This window comes from Homo sapiens, chromosome 5 (genome assembly GCF_000001405.40).
Source record: "Homo sapiens chromosome 5, GRCh38.p14 Primary Assembly".
In the NCBI taxonomy this organism is placed as follows: Eukaryota; Metazoa; Chordata; class Mammalia; order Primates; family Hominidae; genus Homo; species Homo sapiens.
The window spans coordinates 134225076-134244285 of NC_000005.10; the positions used below are offsets into that span (position 1 = coordinate 134225076).

The 19210-nt window shown below is 45.7% G+C and overlaps 1 protein-coding gene, 1 long non-coding RNA gene and 1 other non-coding gene across 5 annotated transcripts in view, besides 7 other annotated features; 2 read left to right on the forward strand and 1 right to left on the reverse strand.

Moving 5' to 3' along the window:
• PPP2CA (protein phosphatase 2 catalytic subunit alpha) overlaps window positions 1-998 on the reverse strand; it is a 31742-nt gene extending 30744 nt beyond the window's left edge. For 2 of the 3 annotated variants that reach the window (NR_149151.2, NM_001355019.2), the window contains exon 1: window positions 134-479. Coding sequence is in view for 1 of the 3 variants with exons in the window: in NM_002715.4 (NP_002706.1) it covers window positions 685-786 (102 nt within the window). In the remaining 2 variants the exon portion in view is untranslated. Of the gene's footprint in view, window positions 1-133; window positions 480-684 lie in introns of those variants that run through there. The other variant, NM_002715.4, reaches the window with a different exon arrangement.
• Window positions 288-397: an enhancer, noted in NCBI's record as "active region_23139". NCBI's record gives its function as "activates an Ori minimal core promoter by ATAC-STARR-seq in GM12878 lymphoblastoid cells {active_cell/tissue: GM12878}" and the evidence as "EXISTENCE:reporter gene assay evidence [ECO:0000049][PMID:35858748]".
• On the forward strand, window positions 682-777 carry MIR3661 (microRNA 3661). The gene has a single exon (NR_037434.1). It is a non-coding gene; the product is annotated as a microRNA 3661 (primary transcript).
• Window positions 737-1256: an enhancer, noted in NCBI's record as "NANOG-H3K27ac-H3K4me1 hESC enhancer chr5:133561503-133562022 (GRCh37/hg19 assembly coordinates)". NCBI's record gives its function as "activates a minimal SCP1, AML or CMV promoter by ChIP-STARR-seq in primed H9 embryonic stem cells {active_cell/tissue: H9 hESC(primed)}" and the evidence as "EXISTENCE:reporter gene assay evidence [ECO:0000049][PMID:30033119]".
• Window positions 1257-1778: an enhancer, noted in NCBI's record as "H3K27ac hESC enhancer chr5:133562023-133562544 (GRCh37/hg19 assembly coordinates)". NCBI's record gives its function as "activates a minimal SCP1, AML or CMV promoter by ChIP-STARR-seq in primed H9 embryonic stem cells {active_cell/tissue: H9 hESC(primed)}" and the evidence as "EXISTENCE:reporter gene assay evidence [ECO:0000049][PMID:30033119]".
• PPP2CA-DT (PPP2CA divergent transcript) lies at window positions 1335-3875 on the forward strand. Its single transcript, NR_186539.1, has one exon. It is a non-coding gene; the product is annotated as a PPP2CA divergent transcript (long non-coding RNA).
• Window positions 1778-1937: an enhancer, noted in NCBI's record as "active region_23140". NCBI's record gives its function as "activates an Ori minimal core promoter by ATAC-STARR-seq in GM12878 lymphoblastoid cells {active_cell/tissue: GM12878}" and the evidence as "EXISTENCE:reporter gene assay evidence [ECO:0000049][PMID:35858748]".
• Window positions 1778-2298: a biological region, named in NCBI's record as "H3K27ac hESC enhancer GRCh37_chr5:133562545-133563064".
• Window positions 1779-2298: an enhancer, noted in NCBI's record as "H3K27ac hESC enhancer chr5:133562545-133563064 (GRCh37/hg19 assembly coordinates)". NCBI's record gives its function as "activates a minimal SCP1, AML or CMV promoter by ChIP-STARR-seq in primed H9 embryonic stem cells {active_cell/tissue: H9 hESC(primed)}" and the evidence as "EXISTENCE:reporter gene assay evidence [ECO:0000049][PMID:30033119]".
• Window positions 15634-15683: an enhancer, noted in NCBI's record as "active region_23141". NCBI's record gives its function as "activates an Ori minimal core promoter by ATAC-STARR-seq in GM12878 lymphoblastoid cells {active_cell/tissue: GM12878}" and the evidence as "EXISTENCE:reporter gene assay evidence [ECO:0000049][PMID:35858748]".

The following is a 19210-nucleotide window of genomic DNA, read 5'->3' on the forward strand; positions in this document are numbered from 1 at the left end:
TATGACTCACCAAATTCCCGATTTCTTCCAACTATGAAAAATAAGTTACACTCCTCCCTTATAGCTACCACCATGACCTTCGTAAAAATTAGGTTAAGAGAATAATTTAAAAATTCTTAAAGACACCCCTTACCTTGATTTCTGGAGAAGATCGCTTGGTGAGTTTAATACAAACCACCAAGGGGTACTAAAGCTGTGTGACCTTTAGGTATGTTCTGGGATACGGCCTAACAAGACTGCCTTTGGGGGATCCTCTGGGCAGCTCTGGACCTAACTAGGCCTGGGTACCAGCGGCAAGACTCTTACTCAGCCCACCGGAGAGGCCCAGGCTCCATTCCCAAGCCGCAGAATCCAAGCCAGCTCACCCTCAAAACCGTCCCTGACGATGACCCACAGGGTCTCCGCTCCCCCTGCCACCTCGTCTGGCGCCAAGGCCGGCTGACTCAAAAGCCCAGGAGTCGAGTGAACGGCGCCATTTTAGGCGGCGGCGGCAACCAATCCCTGCGCGGGAGGCAGGGGGCGCCGGGTCGTTAGGAAGCCGCCGCCGGCCAGGATGGGCGCCGGTCTCGGAGACTCGGGGGGCCCGGACCGGCGGCCTCCGCCATGTTGCACCCTCCTCACGGCCGCCTTTTCCTCGGCGGGCTCGGCCCCGCGGCGGCTGTCCGCAGCCGTACTACAGCTCACCTTCTCGCAGAGGCTCTTGACCTGGGACTCGGACAGCTGCTTGCACTCGTTCAGCTGCTCGATCCACTGGTCCAGCTCCTTGGTGAACACCTTCTCGTCCATGATGCCACCCGCCCCAGCCGGCTGCCGCTCCGCGCTGCTCCCGCGCCGCCGCCCGCACACGGGCCTACACGCACACGCCGCCGCCGGTTCCTCGTGTACTTCTGGCGGCTGTTGAGGCTGGCGCTGGCCCGCTGGCTCTCACCGCAGTACTCGGCCGTCGGCCGCTGCGCCTCCTCCTCCGCTCGCTGAGGCTCCAGAGCTCGGCTCTCTGTAATGGCGGCCGCCGGGCGTGGTGACGTCACGCCCGGCGTCAGGAGGCGGCGGGGAGCGGAGGGGAAAAGGGCCGGGGAGCAAGCTGCGCAACTGCAGAGCCCTCCCCGGGCGGCCGCACGACCGGAGTTGGGGCGCAAACTGGGGGTCAAAGCGCAGGCGCGACGTAGCCGGCTGGTAACTGAAGCGCCTTGACTTTTTGGGCGTGGCTCCCGGAGGGCGGGGTGGTGGGGGAAGGGAAGGATGGAGCTGGAGCATGCGCAGTGCGCACAGCGGCGAACCGGACTAATCCCTGAGCACTATTCCAGGAGAGGCGAGGGCTTGGGCCGCGCGCAGGCGCAGACCGGATGGAAGCCGGGGCCACTGGCAGCCTGTAACTGGTTCCCCTGGGAAGGCCGCTCTGGTGATGAACTCAGCTCCTCACCTGGGGCCTGGCAGTCCGATCACGGAAACGAGAATTGCGACCCCGTGGCTCATCTGGGGTGCTGCGGCTCTGTAATCGTGTGGGTTTCCGTCATCTTTGGGGGCAGGAACGGGCAGCGAGTGGCCGCTTGGATTAACCACCCCCACCTCTGGGCGCGGCTGGCACCTTGTAATTAGGTCACTCGTAGGTGGAGGAGCGTGTACCTACCGGGGGAGTGCTGCGCAGTGCACCTGACTTCCGCGGCACACACCCGTCCCCGGACCTAGGTGTCTCGTCGGGCGCGATGGCGGGGGCGAGGCTTGGGCTTTTCTTTGGGCCTCGGACCGCGGCTCGCTTCCACGCGCCCCGCTCCTCGCCGGTGGTTGCTTTCCTCCAAGTTTAATTCTCTCTGGGAATGAGAGACCCTCAACCCCTGCGCGCCCTGGCCTACTTTCAAGAGGGGAAGCCCAGAGAAGATGGATGCACCTGTCCTGACCGCGTCTCGGTGGCGTGAGAAGCAGCTGTGATACGTGCTTAAAAGAGAGAGCTCGTATACCCTAGGATTGGACCTCTGTCTGGTTATGAATCGCTTTGGAGTTTGCGAAACGTTTTCACATTCCATTGTCCCTGCTTTTACATAAATATCTGGTTCCATAGAGCGCCAGCTATATGCCAGATCCGGAGGGGTCATCCAGACGGACCAGGGACCATGCCCTGGAGCTTGTATTCTCCCAACAGTACTGGCTGAAGATGGTTTGGGATAGGCAGAAGAGAGATCATAATGCCCCCAGGATTTGAAAGATATAGAAGCTTTCCAAAGAACATTTAACCATAAAGGGCAAGGCAAGAGCTGAACCTGATCGCCTGTCTTCCAGGAACCCCACCCTCAGTATCAGGCAACCCTTCCACACCCAAGTGCTCAGCGATGCTTGGGAGGAGACTGCTCACTCTGCGGCTCTGAGGGCATCATCCCCACCAACAGGCTGAAGAAGGCACTGGAGGCCCCATCAGCCAATAGCAGGACTGAAAATCCTCCTTTATCCAAGACAACGTGTTTGGCAAGGCCGACTGGCTTGGCCTCCCTAGGCTGGAAATTGCAATTCTGCTTTCCCTTCACACCTCCCATTAGTGTGCACAAAAGAAAGTACCTTAAATCTACTCTTCTAGAAGTCTTATCACATACTTAATTTACCAGACTGGGAAAAAGACCCTTTAGCCCAAATTCTGTCCCTGTTTTGCAGTTAACATCCCCAAACAATAGAAGGGTAAGAGTTAAGACCAAGTGGAATGAATAAGGAAAAAATCATCACTTAGTGCCCGTGATTATAAAGCCATACCCAGTGTGCTGTCTAATCTTATTCTTTACCGTTGCCATGAACCTGTGTGAGAACTGTCTGATGGGGCAAGAAGCAGACAGGCACTCAGAAAAGAGAAGGGACTTGCCTAAGATAGTGGTCAGGATTTAAAACTGCACACTCCCAAGTACAAAGTCTCAGCCACAGTCATGCAGTTGACCTTCCAAGGTCTGACATATGGAACAGAATCAACATTATTTCTCTTTGCCTAGATTCTCTCTCTTTTTTTTTTTTTTTTTTTTTTTTTTTTGAGCCAGAGTCTCACTCTGTTGCACAGGCTGGAGTGCAGTGGTGCAATCTCGGTTCACTGCAAACTCTGCCTCCCAGGTTCAAGCAAATCTCCTGCCTCAGCCTCCCAAGTAGCTGGGATTACAGGCACCCGCCACCATGCCCGGGTAATTTTTATATTTTTAGTAGAGACGGATTTCGCCACGTTGGCCAGGCTGGTCTCAAACTCCTGACCTCAGGTGATCCGCCTGCTTCAGCCTCCCAAAGTGCTGGGATTACAGGTGTGAGCCACCGCACCCAGCCTGCCTAGATTCTCTTACCTGGAAAGGGTGTGGTGATGTTAGTTTGATAGATGATGAAGTATTGAACACCCACTGTGTGCTAAAATTATGAGTTTTTCCAAAGTACTGTGAGCCCCTTGTTGGTAGCATTAATGTAGGTGTTATTTATTTTCTCTTGATGCAGATTACTTGGCTCACCACCATCACAAAATGGAGGGAAGATATAATAATTATATGTACTTAAAACATCCTGCCAAATAATTAAATGCCATGACTTAACTTCTTAAGGAATGAATTCTAGGAAGCTCTTAGCATCAGACAGTGAAGTAAAGCATACATGATCATAAACAATACAGAAGTAAATTAATCAGGATATATTTTTCTTTAGAAGAAATTCAGATTGTGTATTCTGTAGAACAAAATATCTAATGGACATGAAAATGAAAATTCATTTTGACTTATCTGGTCTTGACTAATTTGACCTCACTGACTCAATTCTAGAGCTGAAGAATATTTGGAACAAAAAATTTAAAGCAAACCAAAAAGAATTGTCTTTTTAATTTATTGGGAAACACCAGAGAGTAAATAAAGCAAATATGCTTTGAGAAAGAATCTTTGCTCTGATGGCAAATTCAATATACAGCAAGTCTGAGTGTTGCCCATGATGTTTAAACATAGCTATAAATAAAAATCATCTGATGATGGGGGCGGGGTAGGAGGAGGATAACCTTGAGCAAATAGCTTTATAATAGGCACCCTACCCAAGATACAAAAATTGACATTAAACATGGAGTAGGAATGAGATATATCTTGTCAGCAATTCTCTTGGCATTAAGTTAGGTTTATTTTTTTGTTGTTGTTCCTTCCAGTTCCCTGACTTCTAAACTTACTGAGACAGAAAGTAGACCAGTGTCAGAAACGACTCTGGAGTCAGATGGAACTGGGTTTGAATTCTGGTTCTGCAACCGCCTAGATGTGTGAACTTTGGCAAGTTACCTAACTTTTCTGAGTCTTGGTTTTCTCATCTATAAAGTGGGAATAATTATAATAGAAAAATAATAAGGTTATTCTGAGAATTAAATGAAATTATAAATAAATAAAACCAGGCTGGGCGCAGTGGCTCACTTCTGTAATCCCAGCACTTTGGAAGGCTGAGGCAGGTGGATCACCTGAGGTCAGGAGTTCGAGACCAGCCTGGCCAACCTGGCAAACCACCATCTCTACTAAAACTACAAAAAAATTAGCCAGGTGTGGTGGTGTGTGCCTGTAATCCCAGTTACTCAGGAGACTGAGACAAGAGAATAGCTTGAACCCGGGAGGCAGAGGCTGCAGTGAGCCAAGATCGCGCCACTGCACTCCAGCCTGGGCAAAAGAGCAGGACTCTGTCTCAAAAATAAATAAATAAATAACACCAAAATAGTATTAATTAATGTATAATAAGTGCTAGATGTTGTTATTTATTATTATAATTTCTAAGTGGGCTTGGATTTTAAATACATAACCTCTAATGCCAGTTGGAGTCCTTCATATCTGCAGTGAAATACATAGTGGTGTTAGGAAACAGAAATAGAGGTATCAAAAATATGTAGGCCGGGCACAGTGGCCTGTAATCCCAGCACTTTGGGAGGCTGAGGCGGGTGGATTACTGAAGGTCAGGAGTTCGAGACTAGCCTGGCCAACATGGTGAAACCCCGTCTCTACTAAAAATACAAAAATTAGCCAGGCGTCCTGGTGGGTGCCTGTAATCCCAGCTACTCGGGAGGCTGAGGCAGGAGAATTGCTTGAACCTGGGAGGCAGAGGTTGCAGTGAGCTGAGATCACGTCACTGCACTTCAGCCTGGGTGACAGAGTGAGACTCTGTCTCAAAATAAATAAATAAATAAAATAAAAACATCATGTAAACACAAAGCCATTGGATGAAGTGGGGATGAAGGAGGAAATTCAAGGAGAGGTAGAGATGGAATAAACAGAACAACTCCTCTCTTGCCTTGCCATCCATTTAGACTTGTTATATAGAGAAAAAGTTACTTAGGACTAAATCCAAGAATTAATACAATCGGTCCCATGCTCCTGTCAGCTCAGAATCTTACATCTGAAAAGGGTGCCATAGTTGAAAAGGATAACATGCTCTTTGTACCAAGGCCTTTTATGCCCCAGAAGCCCCAAAATGAAGTCCTGAGCAGTCAAAATCTTAGTGGCTTTGGCCATGGAAAGCCTGCCATGCTCTGGCCAACGACGCCTGCCCAGCTACCAGACGATTTCTGCACTCAGCTTACACAATGATGCCTGCAGCTCATTGGTATCTGTCTCTGTTCTTTGTAGTTTTCAGAAAAATTAAGTTTATATTCCCCTTTCACCTGGAATTAGAATTTTATAAATGTAGCCAAAATTTTGTGGCCAGGAACTTTGCCACAGATATACTGCCTTTTCCTCCAGCTTCTACAGTCCGGCTAAAGAAAAAAGAGAGAAATGACCATGTCCCCTGGTGATGCCCCTGATGTCTGGATAGTATTCTCAGTTACAAAAGGAGACATTTTTCCATTACAGGAAAAAAAAACTCTGAAATGGAAGGCAAAGTTCATCACTCCAGAAGGCTGGGAAAACCTTAATACTGTCACCAACTCTGTAGCTATGAAAAATCCTATCATACAAGTATGTTTGATATAGAATATTATTCATAACATATTAAGTGTTAAAAATACCTTATAAAGGCCAGGCGCAGTGGCTCACGTCTGTAATCCCAGCACTTTGGGAGGCTGAGGCAGGAAGATCACGAGGTCAGGAGTTCGAGACCAGCCTGGCCAGCATGGTGAAACCCTGTCACTACCAAAAATACAAAAAATTAGCCAGGCATGGTGGCGCGTACCTGTGGTCCAAGCTACTCAGGAGGCTGAAGCAGGAGAATTGCTTGAACCCAGCAGGCAGAGGTTGCAGTGAGCCGAGATCACACCACTGCACTCCAGCCTGGGTGACAGAGTGACACTCCGTCTCAAAAAAAAAAAAGAAAAACAAAAACAAAACCTTATAAAACAGTATGCATGATATAACCCCAATTTCATTAACATATATTGTAAATATATGTTTATAAGAAACTTTAGAAAGCCACACAGTGAAGTATTAATAGTGGTTACTTCCAGTGAGTAGGATTATTTTTTAGTTTCTTCTTTTTGCTAACTTGATTTTTCTGTAGTGAATACATAATGCTTTTATAATTATGAAAGAAGATGGCTGGGCACGGTGGCTCACACTTGCAATCCCAACACTTTGGGAGGCCAAGGCAGGCAGATCACCTGAGGTCAGGAGTTTGAGATCAGCCTGGCCAACATGGTGAAATCTCATCTCTATTAAAAATACAAAAATTAGCTGGGCTTGGTGGTGGGCACCTGTAACCCCAGCTACTCAGGAGGCTGAGGCAGGAGAATTGCTTGAACCCAGGAGGCGGAGGTTGCAGTGAGCCGAAATCATGCCACCGCACTCCAGCCTGGGTGACGCAGCAAGACTCCATCTCAAAAAAAAAAAAAAAAAAAGCCGGGGGGAGGGACAGGCATCATGGTTCACACCTGTAATCCCAGCACTTTGGGAGGCCGAGGTGGGCAGATCACGAGGTCAGGAGTTCGAGACCAGCCTGGCTGATATGGTGAAACCCCATCTCAACTGAAAATACAAAAATTAGCTGGACACGGTGGCAAGCGCCTGTAATCCCAGCTACTCAGGAGGCTGAGGCAGGAAAATCACTTGAACCCGGGATGCAGAGGTTGCAGTGAGCCAAGATCGCGCCATTGTACTCCAGCCTAGGTGACAGAGTGAGACTCCAACTCAAAAATAAATAAATAAAAATCCCAGCACTTTGGGAGGCTAAGGCAGGCGGATCACGAGGTCAGGAGTTCAAGACCAGCCTGACCAACATGGTGAAACCTCGTCTGTACTAAAAATACAAAAATTAGTTGGGCGTGGTGGCGCATGCCTGTAATCCCAACTACTCAGGAGGCTGAGGCAGGAGAATTGCTTGGATCCAGGAGGCAGAGGTTGCAGTGAGCGGAGATTGCACCACTGCACTCCAGCCTGGGTGACAGAGCGAGACTCCGGCTCAAAAAAAAAAAAAAAAAAAAGAGAAAAAGAAAATGTTGGATATGTGAATAAACATGACAAAGCATCTCTTGGGAGAATCACAGGCCCTAAGAACCAAAGAACATGTAGCCAATATAGCCAGTAGTTCTGCCAAGCATTCCACTATACCCTGCAATGTTACTCAAGGGCCCTCACTTTCTTATGGAAAGAAGTCTGAGCTCTCCTATGCCCTCTCACATGGCCTTTTCTCCTGCCTTCTCTCTCACTATAAGCTCTCCTCCTCAGCTTAGCTGGCCACCTCCCCAAACCAATTCTGTACTCATCCAACTCCATTGCTTCTTTCACCCTTTGCTCATCCTGCCCTGAATCCCTGGATTCCCCACTGGTATCTATATTAACCTTACCTGCCATTTAAGGTCAGTTGAGGTCGCACTTTTCAGAGAAGACTCTGAAAAGTCTTCTCTGGTGATTCTACGTCTCTCTTGATCAAGAGTACTTAGTAGATTAGCAGGAGACTCTTAGAGGAGGACTTGTTGGTGAGCCCATACAAGATGTTCCCTAGAGACTTACAGAAACACTGTGGAGGAGAGAGATGTTTTGCAGGGAGCCAGAGGGGAAATCTGTTTATATTTTATTCTTTATTTTCCAGATTAAGCAGTTTACCAGTGTTCTACCTTGATACCTGACAAAATTTAAAAATTAGATTCACCAAAGCAGGCGAATTTCCAAGCACAGAGGTATCTAAACAGTGCTATGAAATTCATTTGCAAAGATAGAAACATAGGTCCATACTGCTCTCCTGTCTGATGGAAGAAAAAGAAACTCTCCTCTCATAGGAGTGTTTGTTCTCTGGCCAATAGAGGGAACACCAAACAGGAAGACCCCTCCATTACTAAGTACTTCTATGCTCATGTTTAAATTGTGATTCTGGAAGATGGTAATGGAGTTGAGTCCCCAGGCAAAAGAAGGAACAGATAGTATATGTGAAAAAGAGAAACTGATGGGTGATTTCGTGTCTACAAGTTGATGGTTGGTTCTTAGAGGAAGGATGGCTAATCAGTTGTCTCCATCTTTGCAGGAACAGGCAAGAGAAAATGAGCCTCTGTCAAGGAGTAACAGTAATAAGGGCCAGCATTTATTAAGCACGTACTACATGTTAAAACTCTTCTAAGTGTTTTCCATGTATTCTTCCTTTTTTTTTTTTAGACAGAGTCTCGCTCTTGTTGCCCAGGCTGGAGTGCAGTGGTGTGATCTCAGCTCACTGCAACCTCTGCCTTCTGGGTTCAAGCGATTCTCGTGCCTCAGCCTCCTGAGTAGCTGGGATTACAGGAATGCACCACCATGCCTGGCTAATTTTTGCATTTTTAGTAGAGACAGGGTTTCACCATCTTGGCCAGGCTGGTCTCGAACTCCTGACCTCAAGTGATCCGCCCACCTCGGCCTCCCAGTGTGCTGAGATTACAAGCGTGTGACCCCACCTGGTCATGTAACTCATGTCCTTACAGGTTCTGACTTGGTGAGCAGCCTGTGGGCCAGCCCCACCACATAAGCCTTCTACTCCCTAAATACACTCATTCTCTCTTCCACTCTCTTCTCCCCATACCATCCTCATTTGCCCTCTTCTGGTGTACCCCCTTTCTTTTTCCTCTCCTTCTTTCCCTCCTATTCCCCAACATGTCCAGCTTTCTGGGATAACTCATAGGCACTATTTGGTTCCTCTTTTGGTACTCAGAATCAAAAGGGCTGCTGGTCCCTGACCTACACCTTTCTAAGCCACCTTTTTGTGAATGAGATCATCCACAGTCCACCACAGGCTGAGCACAGACAGCTTAGGAAGAAATGAAAAAAAATCCTAAAAACAAATTGCCGGCCGGCGCAGTGGCTCATGTCTGTAATCCCAGCACTTTGGGAGGCTGAGGCAGGTAGATCACGAGGTCAGGAGTTCAAGACCAGCTTGGCCAACATAGTGAAACCCCCATCTCTACTAAAAATACAAAAAAATTAGCTGGGCATGGTGGTGCATGCCTGTAGTCCCAGCTACTTGGGAGGTGGAGGCAGGAGAATCGCTTGAACCTTGGAGGTGGAGGTTGCAGTGGGCCGAGATCGTGCCACTCCACTCCAGCTTGAACAACAGAGTGAGACTTCGTCTCCAAAACAAAAACAAAAAACCAAAAAAACCCAAATTGCCCTGTCTAGACTCAGTGTTCTCTGTGCACATCAGGGAATATCAGTTGCCCTGTTACACTGGTTTGTCTTGCCTTTTTAAATCAAGTAAACAACACAATGTGGACAGCACTCTCTTCCTTTTAGCAACCAGTTGTAGAATAAGGAGAGCTGGGTTCAATCTCCTTATTCACCATCAATCTGAATGACTTTGAACACATCCTCTCCCATCAGTTTCCCCATCCAACAACGCAAAAATTGGTCTATATTAGAGAGTTCTCAATTTAGGATTCATGGGTAGGTTCAGCAGGGGGGTCCATCAACTCTGAAAAAATAATGTATGGAAATTTTGTGTTTTTTAATGGAAATTCTTATTGAGATTATTTATTTGTTTATTTATTTATTTATTTTTGAGACAGAGTCTCGCTCTTGTTGCCCAGGCTGGAATGCATTGGTGTGATCTTGGCTCACTGCAAACTCCGGGTTGCAAACTCACGATGCAAACTCACGGGTTGAAGCGATTCTCCCACCTCAGCCTCCCAAGTAGCCTGGATTACAGGCACCCACCACCACACCCTGCTAATTTTTTAATTTTTAGTAGAGACAGGGTTTCACCATGTTGGCCAGGCTGGTCTTGAACTCCTGACCTCAGGTGATCCACCTGCCTTGGCCTCCCAAAGTGCTGGGATTATAGGCATGAGCCACCGGGCCTGGCCAAGATTATTTTTATTTATTTATTTATTTAAGACAGAGTTTTGCTCTTGTCACCCAGGGTGGAGTGCAGTTGCACAATCTTGGCTCACTGCAACCTCTGCCTCCTGGGTTCAAGCAATTCCTCCACCTCAGCCTCCTGAGTAGCTGGGATTACAGGTGCATACCACCATGCCTGGCTAATTTTTGTATTTTTAGTAGAGACAGGGTTTCACCATCTTGTCCAGGCTTGTCTCGAACTCCTGACCTCAGGTGATCTGCCCACCTCGGCCTCCCAAAGTACTGATATTACAGGCGTGAGCCACCACACCTGGCCTTATTGAGATAATTTTAGATTCACATGCATCTATAAGAAATAATACAGAGAGATCCCAGTTTCTCAGTGGTAACATCTTGCAGTATTATAGTACCATATCACAACTTGGAAATTGATATTGATTCAATTCACCTATCTTATTCAGATTTCCCCAGTTTTACATGCACATAATTGTGTGTGTGTTAGTATGGGTATTTAGTGCTATGCAATTGGGAATTTTCTTTTGCATGTGCTTTTTTTTTTTCTGGGGAAAGTTTCTTAGCTTTCATCAGATTCTCTCAAGCATCAGAGATCCAAAAAGGGGTTTGAGTCCCAGCTCTGGGAAATCTAGAAGACCATTCCTGAACCTCCATAGCTCTCTATTTCAGCAATCAACATTTAATTAGCAATTACCCCACAGCAGGCATAGGAATGCATATGAAGGAGAGGTGGTAGAGAGGGGTGCTGAGAAAGGAGGGCAAGCCCGAAGTTGCATACTACACTGTCTACCGAGCTTATGCTCAGGGGAGACACACAGTCCAACAGGCAAACAAATTATTTATTAAACATGCACAGAAGAGGGATGGCCCTGTTGCTTGGGGAAGCTGGGAAGTATTTCCACAGAAGCTGATGGTTTAGTTACATCTTGGAGGATAATCCAGAATTTTTCAGCTGAGGAGAGAAGAATTAATTGTTAAAATCATTCCCTCCAATCAGATCTATTCTAGATGTTTTGAAGAAAACATAGGAAACCATGCCTACATTTGTTTATTGTACAATGTTAAGGTGTCAGATTCAACTCCCATGTGCTGGTGCTGAGGCCAAGAGATTTTTTCCCCCTGAGTCTGTTTTCCACTATCTTGTCCAAATTGGATACCAGAGCCTGTCTGCTTAGCTTGAGAAAGGCATTTTATCTCTGGTGCCTTGATGACATTAGAGCTTATATTTAAAGCATGAGTGATGAGAAGAGACCAAAGCTGAGACCTTGGCTCTGTCCCATCCATAGAGCTCTCTCCTCCTCTGCATCGAAGGCTCTAGAAGCCAGTCCTGCATTGTCTGGTGGGAGCCCGAGCTGGTCAGAGCCATGAGTAAAACATCTCTGCCCTCCAGTTGACTCTCCAGTCACTGGGATCTCCTATTCTCTCAAGAGCTCATCAGAAATCCTCAGGGGGGCAAGAAATAAACATTTAAAAAAAGAAAAGAAAACCTTGTGGAGGGGCCAGGCGCAGTGGCTCATGCCTGTAACCTCAGCACTTTGGGAGGCCAAGGTGAGCAGATCGCTCAAGCTCAGGAGTTTGAGACAAGCCTGAGCAACATGGCAAAACCCCGTCTCTACTAAAAATCCAAAATTTAGGCAGGCGTGGTGGTGGGCAACTGTTGTCCCAGCTACTTGGGAGGTTGAGGTGTGAGGATTGCTTGAGTCCAGCAGGTGGAGGTTGCAGTGAGCAGAGATGGCGCCACTGCACTCCAGCCTGGGCAACAGAGCAAGACTCTGTCTCAAAAAAAAAGGAAAGAAAAAAAAAGAAACCCTCAGGGGCTTGGGCACTGGGGCTCCTCCATGTCTGTCCTCTCTATATTCGCTGGTTAGCTGCCTTGTGTCGGCTCTGGCTCAGACACCCCAAGGGGGCCTCTTTCTCTGTGTGAATTTCAGGTTCCTCATCAGGCCATTCAGTTCCCAGTACTGTTCTAGGAGAAATCATCTGAGTGTAGCCATTTCTGGGTTTGGGAGACCAAGACTCTACCATTGGGTACCCTTTGAAGAACCCTCTAGAAGCCCGATTCTAGAGGGTACCATTTCTGCACCATTTCTTATCATCCGTGTCCTCATGCAAGCTGTTTATCCCCTTAAATCTTAGTATCTTCATCTGTAACATGGGGATCATAATAGTACTATCCTCATAGGATTATTTTAAGCTTTAAATTAATTTCTGTAAAATTCTTAGCATATAAGTACTCTATCTACATTAGTTATTACTAACATCTATTTTTATAATATGATTATTTTTGGTTATTAAAAAAACCTTCACGGCTGGACGTGGTGGCTCATGCCTGTAATCCCAGCACTTTGGGAGGCCTAGGTTGGCGGATCACTTGAGGTCAGGAGTTCGAGACCAGCCTGGCCAACATGGTGAAACCCCGTCTCTACTAAAAAAAATATGAAAACAACAACAACAAAAAACCTTCAACAAGAAAAAAAAATTAATCTTCACTATAGCAAATTTGTGAACTACTGCAAGTTTAAGGAAGAAACAATCATAACATCCAGAGATAAGTGCTATTATCATTTTGATGTACAGTATTCCCAGCTTAATTTTTTCTTGCTTTTTTTTTTTTTCTCTTTTTTTTTTGAGATGGAGTCTTGCTCTGTCGCCCAGGCTGGAGTGCAGTGGCGCTATCTCAGCTCGCTGCAGCCTCTGCCTCTGGGTTTCAAGTGATTCTCCTGCCTCAGGCTCCCAAGTAGCTGAGATTACAGGCACAGGCCACCATGCCTGGCTAATTTTTTTATTTTTGGTAGAAATGGGGCTTCATCATGTTGGCCAGGCTGGTGTCAAACTCCTGACCTCTAGTGATCCACCCCCCTCAGCCTCCCAAAGTGCTGGGATTACAGGTGTGAGCTACCGCTCCTGGCTGTCTTTTTGTTTTTGTTTTTTGTTTGTTTGTTTGTTTTGAGACATCGTCTTGCTCTGTCACCCAGGCTGGAGTGCAATGGCATGTTCACAGCTCACTGTAGCCTTGACCTCCTGGGCTCAAGTGATCTTCCCACCTCTGCCTCCTGAGTAGCTGGGACCACAGGCGCTTGCCGCTGCACCTGGCTAATTTTTGTATTTTTTGTAGAGATGAGGTCTCACTATGTTATCCAGGCTGGTCTCAAACTCCTGGGCTCAAGTGATCCTCCACCTCAGCCTCCCAAAATGCTAGGATTACAGATGTGAGCCACTGTGCCCAGCCCTTCCTTCCCAGCTTTTTTGGTGCATATATATACTTAGGGAAAATTAAAAACTGGGTTCATATTGTGTACTGTGTTATTCAACTGACATATTATGAGCATTTTCTCATATACTTAGATACTATTAGAAAATAATATTTTTAGAGAGTACCTAGTTTTCTAGCACATTGATATAACCCAATTTATATAACTAATCTATTAGTTTGGTATTAGATTATTTAGATTATTTCCTATATTTATATTTATAAATACTGTGGTAAATGTTCTTGTTCATAAATTTTTGTATGCATCTCTGCTTATTTCCTTAAGATAAATGCTTAGAAGTGAATTGACTGACTACACAAAATGCTATACCCTGTTTTTGTTTTTTTAATGTCAGGTATACAGAATTAGATTAACCAGAATGCTTGGTTCATGGTTCACTCTCATAACTGGCATATGGATGGCCTGGTTTTGTTAATTTAGGTGGTAAATTCATTAATAACGTAATCAGTACCTGTGAATTTATAACCCCAAACAAAAGCTAGGACCTTGACAAAACTAATATCTAACCATAGTTCCTCCTGCCCCCACTGCCCCATCTCCTTGCTCCCCACCCCAGACAATCATCCTGAATCCTGTGCTCATTTCCTTGCTTTCCTTTTTATATAGTTTTATTATACCTGTATATATTCCTTTTTTTTTTGAGACAAAGTCTCACTTTATTGTCCAGGCTGGAGTGCAATGGCATGATCTCGGCTCACTGCAACCTCTGCCTCCTGGGTTCCTGCCTCAGCCTTCCCAGTAGCCGGGATTATAGCTGTGTCCCACCACACCTGGCTAACTTGTATTTTTATTTTTATTTATTTATTTTTTTGAGACGGAGTCTCGCTCTGTCACCCAGGCTGGAGTGCAGTGGCATGATCTCAGCTCACTGCAAACTCCACCTCCCAGTTCAAGCGATTCTCCCGCCCCAGCCTCCTGAGTAGCTGGGACTACAGGCGCGCACCAACACATCTGGCTAATTTTTGTATTTTCAGTAGAGACGGGATTTCACCATATTGGCCAGGCTGGTCTTGAACTCCTGACCTCGTCATCCGCCCACCTCGGCCACCCAAAGTGCTGGGATTACAGGCATGAGCCACTGCTCCTGACAACTTTTGTATTTTTAGTAGAGACAGGGTTTCACCGTATTGCCTAGGCTGGTCTCGAACTCCTGACCTCAAGTGATCCACCCCGCCTCGGCCTCCCAAAGTGCTGAGATTACAGGCGTGAGCCACCACGCCTGGCCAATATCTGTACATATTCCTAAAGAATAGTTTTTAAATTGTTCTGAGTTTCATAAAAAAGGATATTATGTTGTATGTAATCTTTCAGGATTTATTTTATTTTTCACTTGATATTTTGCTAAAATCCGTCTGTATCATTGCATTTCACTGTAGTTCATTCATTTTGACTGATGTAAAATAATCCAATACATAAATATACCGCAGTTTATAATCTACTCTCTTACTGATGGGCAACTGCATTGTTTCTAGGATTTAGTTCTTGCGCACGCTGCTATTATGAACATTATTGTCAATGTCTCCTGTTGTACCCGTGCAAGCATTTCTCTAGAAAATCAATTGACGCTTCCCCCAGCCATGGATGAGAGAGCCTCTGGATCCATATCCTCTGGTATTGATGTTTCCATGGTTTGGGATCTATGTTGTCAAGTTGCTTTCCAGGTGGTTAGATCAGTTTGCCTCTCCTCCAGCAATGCAGGAGAATGCCCATTGCCCCAAACTCCTTCCAACACTGGGAATCTTTAAAAGATTTTTGACCATTTCATAGGAGAAAGATAACATCTCCCTGCTGTTTAACTTTGTGGTAAGGTACTGACTGTTTCAGAAGCTGAGCGAGAAGGGATTTGGTTCAGAGAATCGTTCCCAGTCTGATAATTTCAGTGATATTTCTGGAACTGATTACCCAGTGGCTCAGATGCTTTCCCATGTCCTGAAAGAGGTGACACTGTTGGAAGGAGGGAGTGAGGGGGGCCAGGATGGGAAACAAGCCCAATCACCACAGTGCAAGCTTGTCTTCTGGTCCCAGCCCCTGCCAATGTCAGATCACTTTTTCTCCTAATGAAATAGGCATTATCTCCCCCTACTCCCCACCCGAGAAAAGCCAGTATAATTCTACCCTTTGTTATTTGAATTGATAAATTTAAACCTCCTTCCCTCTCTGCAGTAAAAGAACTTTCTATTTTGGGCTCGGTGACATAGCCAACACCAAGCAGAGAGCAGCAGGCTGCAGCATGAGTTAATAGTTTTTCTTCAAGGGAGAGCGAATCCATAAGCAAACAGAAGGCCCTTCCAAACTGTGTCGTCTGCATAGCAACATGCAGCCCATTCGCCTGTCTTTATGCTGACGAATATATTTCTGAAAGGCTGAAAATTGAATACTACCTAATCTTCAGAGGAAGCTGGTGCATTAATTCTGAATTAATCAGGTTTCTTAATTCCAATCAATTTCCCTCCTCCCCACCCTGTGTACCTAACACTGGAATAGGTACTGTCAGGGAAGGGAATTCTGTTTTCAAGTGGATTTCTAGTCACCAAAGATTTAAGGAGTGCCCAAAACATTTTTCCTAAGAATATGACTTTCTCTGCTAGTCTGTTTCCATGCATGAAATCCCCCATATTGGGGTAGAATCCTGGGTCTTACAAGCCCCCAGGCATGCATAGAGGCATGTTCAGTTTTTCTTATGGGAAGTTTTCAATACTCACAAAAGTAGAGATAATAATATAATAAACACCCATTACCTATTGCTTGGCCTCAACGATTAACAATATATGGCAGTCTTGTTTTATCTATACCCCACCCCTCCCTCACCATCATTTTAAAGCAAATTTTAAAGCAAATCATGGTTATCTTCATATTTAAATACTATAAATTCTATAACAAATAAGGACTTTTTTCAATAACCACTATGTCACATATAAAACAATTAAAAATAATTCCTAATATCAACTGGTATCCAGCCAGAAATCAATTTGCCCTGACTTTCCTAAATGTCATTCTGTAATAGTTTATTCTAATCAGAAGCAAAACAATGTCATTTGTATTTGTTATATCTCTTATGTCTTTTTTAGTTTATAACATACATATGTGTGTGTGTATATATATGTGGGCATGTATATATGTGTATGTGTATTATTTTTCTTGTTGTTTTGTTTTTGTTTTTTGAGACAGGATCTCTCCCTGTTGCCCAAGCTAAAGTATAGTGGCACAATTATAGCTCACTGTAGCCTCAAATTCCTGGGCTCAAGCGATCCTCCCACCTCGGCTTCTCTAGTAGCTGGGACTACAGGCACATACTCCCATGCCCAGGTATTTTTTATTTTATTTTTTTCTGGAGACAGGATCTTACTGTGTTGTCCAGGCTGGCCTTGAACTCTTGATTTCAAGTGATCCTCCCACCTTGGCCTCCCAAAGTTCTAGAGATTACAGGCCTGAACCACTGTGCCCAGCCTTAATTTATAACAATTCTTCCTTTTTTTTTTATAGCCCTACTTTTTGGTGTTGTTGAAGATAATGGGTCTTTTAGTTATTATTGCTGTGTAACAAGCCACCCCAAACTTAGTGGCATAAAATAACAACCCATTTATTGTGTTTACAGAGTCTATGGGTCAGGAATTCAGAAAGGACCCAGTTGGGGATGGCTTCTCTCAGCTCCAAGCTGTCTAGGGACTCAGCTGGGAAGATTCAGCCTGAGGATGACTTCACAACTGGGAGCTAGAAGCAGCTGAAGTCTTGTTTACTCACGTGTCAGTGGCTGGGCCTGACGCATTCAAAAACTAGGACTGCTGACCACAGCGCCTACACATGGCCTCTCTCTGTGCCTTGGCTTTCTCACAGAATGGCAAGTTAAACTTCTTACATAGCAGCTTAGGTCTACAAATGCAAGTGTTCCAGCCACAAGGTGGATGCTGTATCACTTTCCTTTTTGAGATGGAGTCTTACTCTGTCACTCGGGCTGGAGTGCAGTGGCACCATCTCGGCTCACTGCAACCTCCGCCTCCCAGGTTCAAGTGATTCTTCTGCCTCAGCCTCCCGAGTAGCTGGGATTATAGGCATGCACCACCACGCCCAGCTAATTTTTTGTATTTTTAGTAGAGACAGGGTTTCACCATGTTGGCCAGGCTGGTCTCGAACTCCTGACCTCAGGTGATCCACCCACCTCGACCTCCCAAAGTGCTGGGATTACAGGTGTGAGCCACCGTGCCTGGCTGCTGTATCACTTTTTATAACCTAACCTCAGAAATCACAGAGTGTTAGTTTTGCTGTCTTCTGTTGGGTACAAGTCACAAGCTTCCCCAGACTCAAAGAGAGTGGAATCAGACTCTACCTTTAGAGTAGCAAAGTTCCAAAAGAGCACGTAGGGTGGGCAATATTATTGCCCCCATTGGAGATTAGGACCATCAGTTGAGCCTGCCTTTCCTCCACCAGCCAGGAAAGATGTTGCAAACAATGGAAGCCTGGTGGAAGAGAGAAAGGGTGGAGTTTGTTTGCAGGGCCATATCCTACAGTTGTACATACTGTGCCATGAACAGCCAAGGAGACGAGCTGAGATGAATCCAGCTCTACTTGCCACACCTGTGCCTTACTGTGGGACTGCATCTCCAGGATGAAGAAGCACCTTTTCTAATATGCATAGATACCATATAGGCAAGAGGAGTCCTCACATGGATGGTAAAAGGTCATTTAACCTAACTTGAAATTATTGGGTATCTATGGAACACATGCTACTTTAGAGAATACTAGGGCTTGTTTCAGCTTAAGAGGCACACACAAGTAGGCCAAGAAATATCTTAGAGTATCTCAAAAATGATGCTGGGTTGACTCAAATGTTGTTTTAAAATTGTGTAACTTTTTTTTTTTTTTTTTTTTGAGACAGAGTCTTGCTCTGTTGCCCAGGCTGGAGTGCAGTGGCATGATCTTGGCTCACTGCAACCTCCGCCTCCCAGGTTCAAGCGATTCTCCTGTCTCAGCCTCCCAAGTAGCTGGGACTACAGGTGCCTGCCATCACACCCAGCTAATTTTTGTATTTTTAGTAGAGTTGGGGTTTCAACTTTTTGGTCAGACTGGTCTCCAACTCCTGACCTCAGGTGATCCACCTGCCTCGGCCTCCCAATGTGCTGGGATTACAGGCGTAAGCCACCACGCCTGGCCCTAAAATGGTGTAATTTTTAGCACCAGGTACTTTTTATTTATTTATTTTGTTTTAGAGTTAGGGTCTCACTCCGTCACCCAGGCTGGTGTGTAGTGGCACAATCATAGCTCACTGCAGCCTTGAACTCCTGGGCTCGACTGCTCCTCCCACCTCAGGCTCCCAAGTGGCGAGGACTACAGGTGTGTGCCACCATGCCAGGCTAATTTTAAAATTTTTGTAGTGACATTGTGTTACCCAGGCTGGTCTTGAACTCCTGGGCTCAAGCAATCCTCCTTCCTCAGCCTCCCAAAGTGCTGGGATTACAGGCTTGAGCCACCATGCCTGGCTCCACCAGGTACTTTTTGATTGCATTGGTCTAGAATGTTCTAGACCTATCTTTGAAGAAGCTGAGGCACTGTATCTCAATGCCTGAGGGACTAGCCCTATCCACATATTGCCAGCCTTGGCTCGATGCAAAAAGTGGGCACAGGATTTCTAGGAAACCAGCCCAAACAGAATTAGGGGTTTTCTTTTATTCTTTGTGGTGCTTATTCCTCATTAACATAGCTTTTGCATTTTAGTTAGATCCC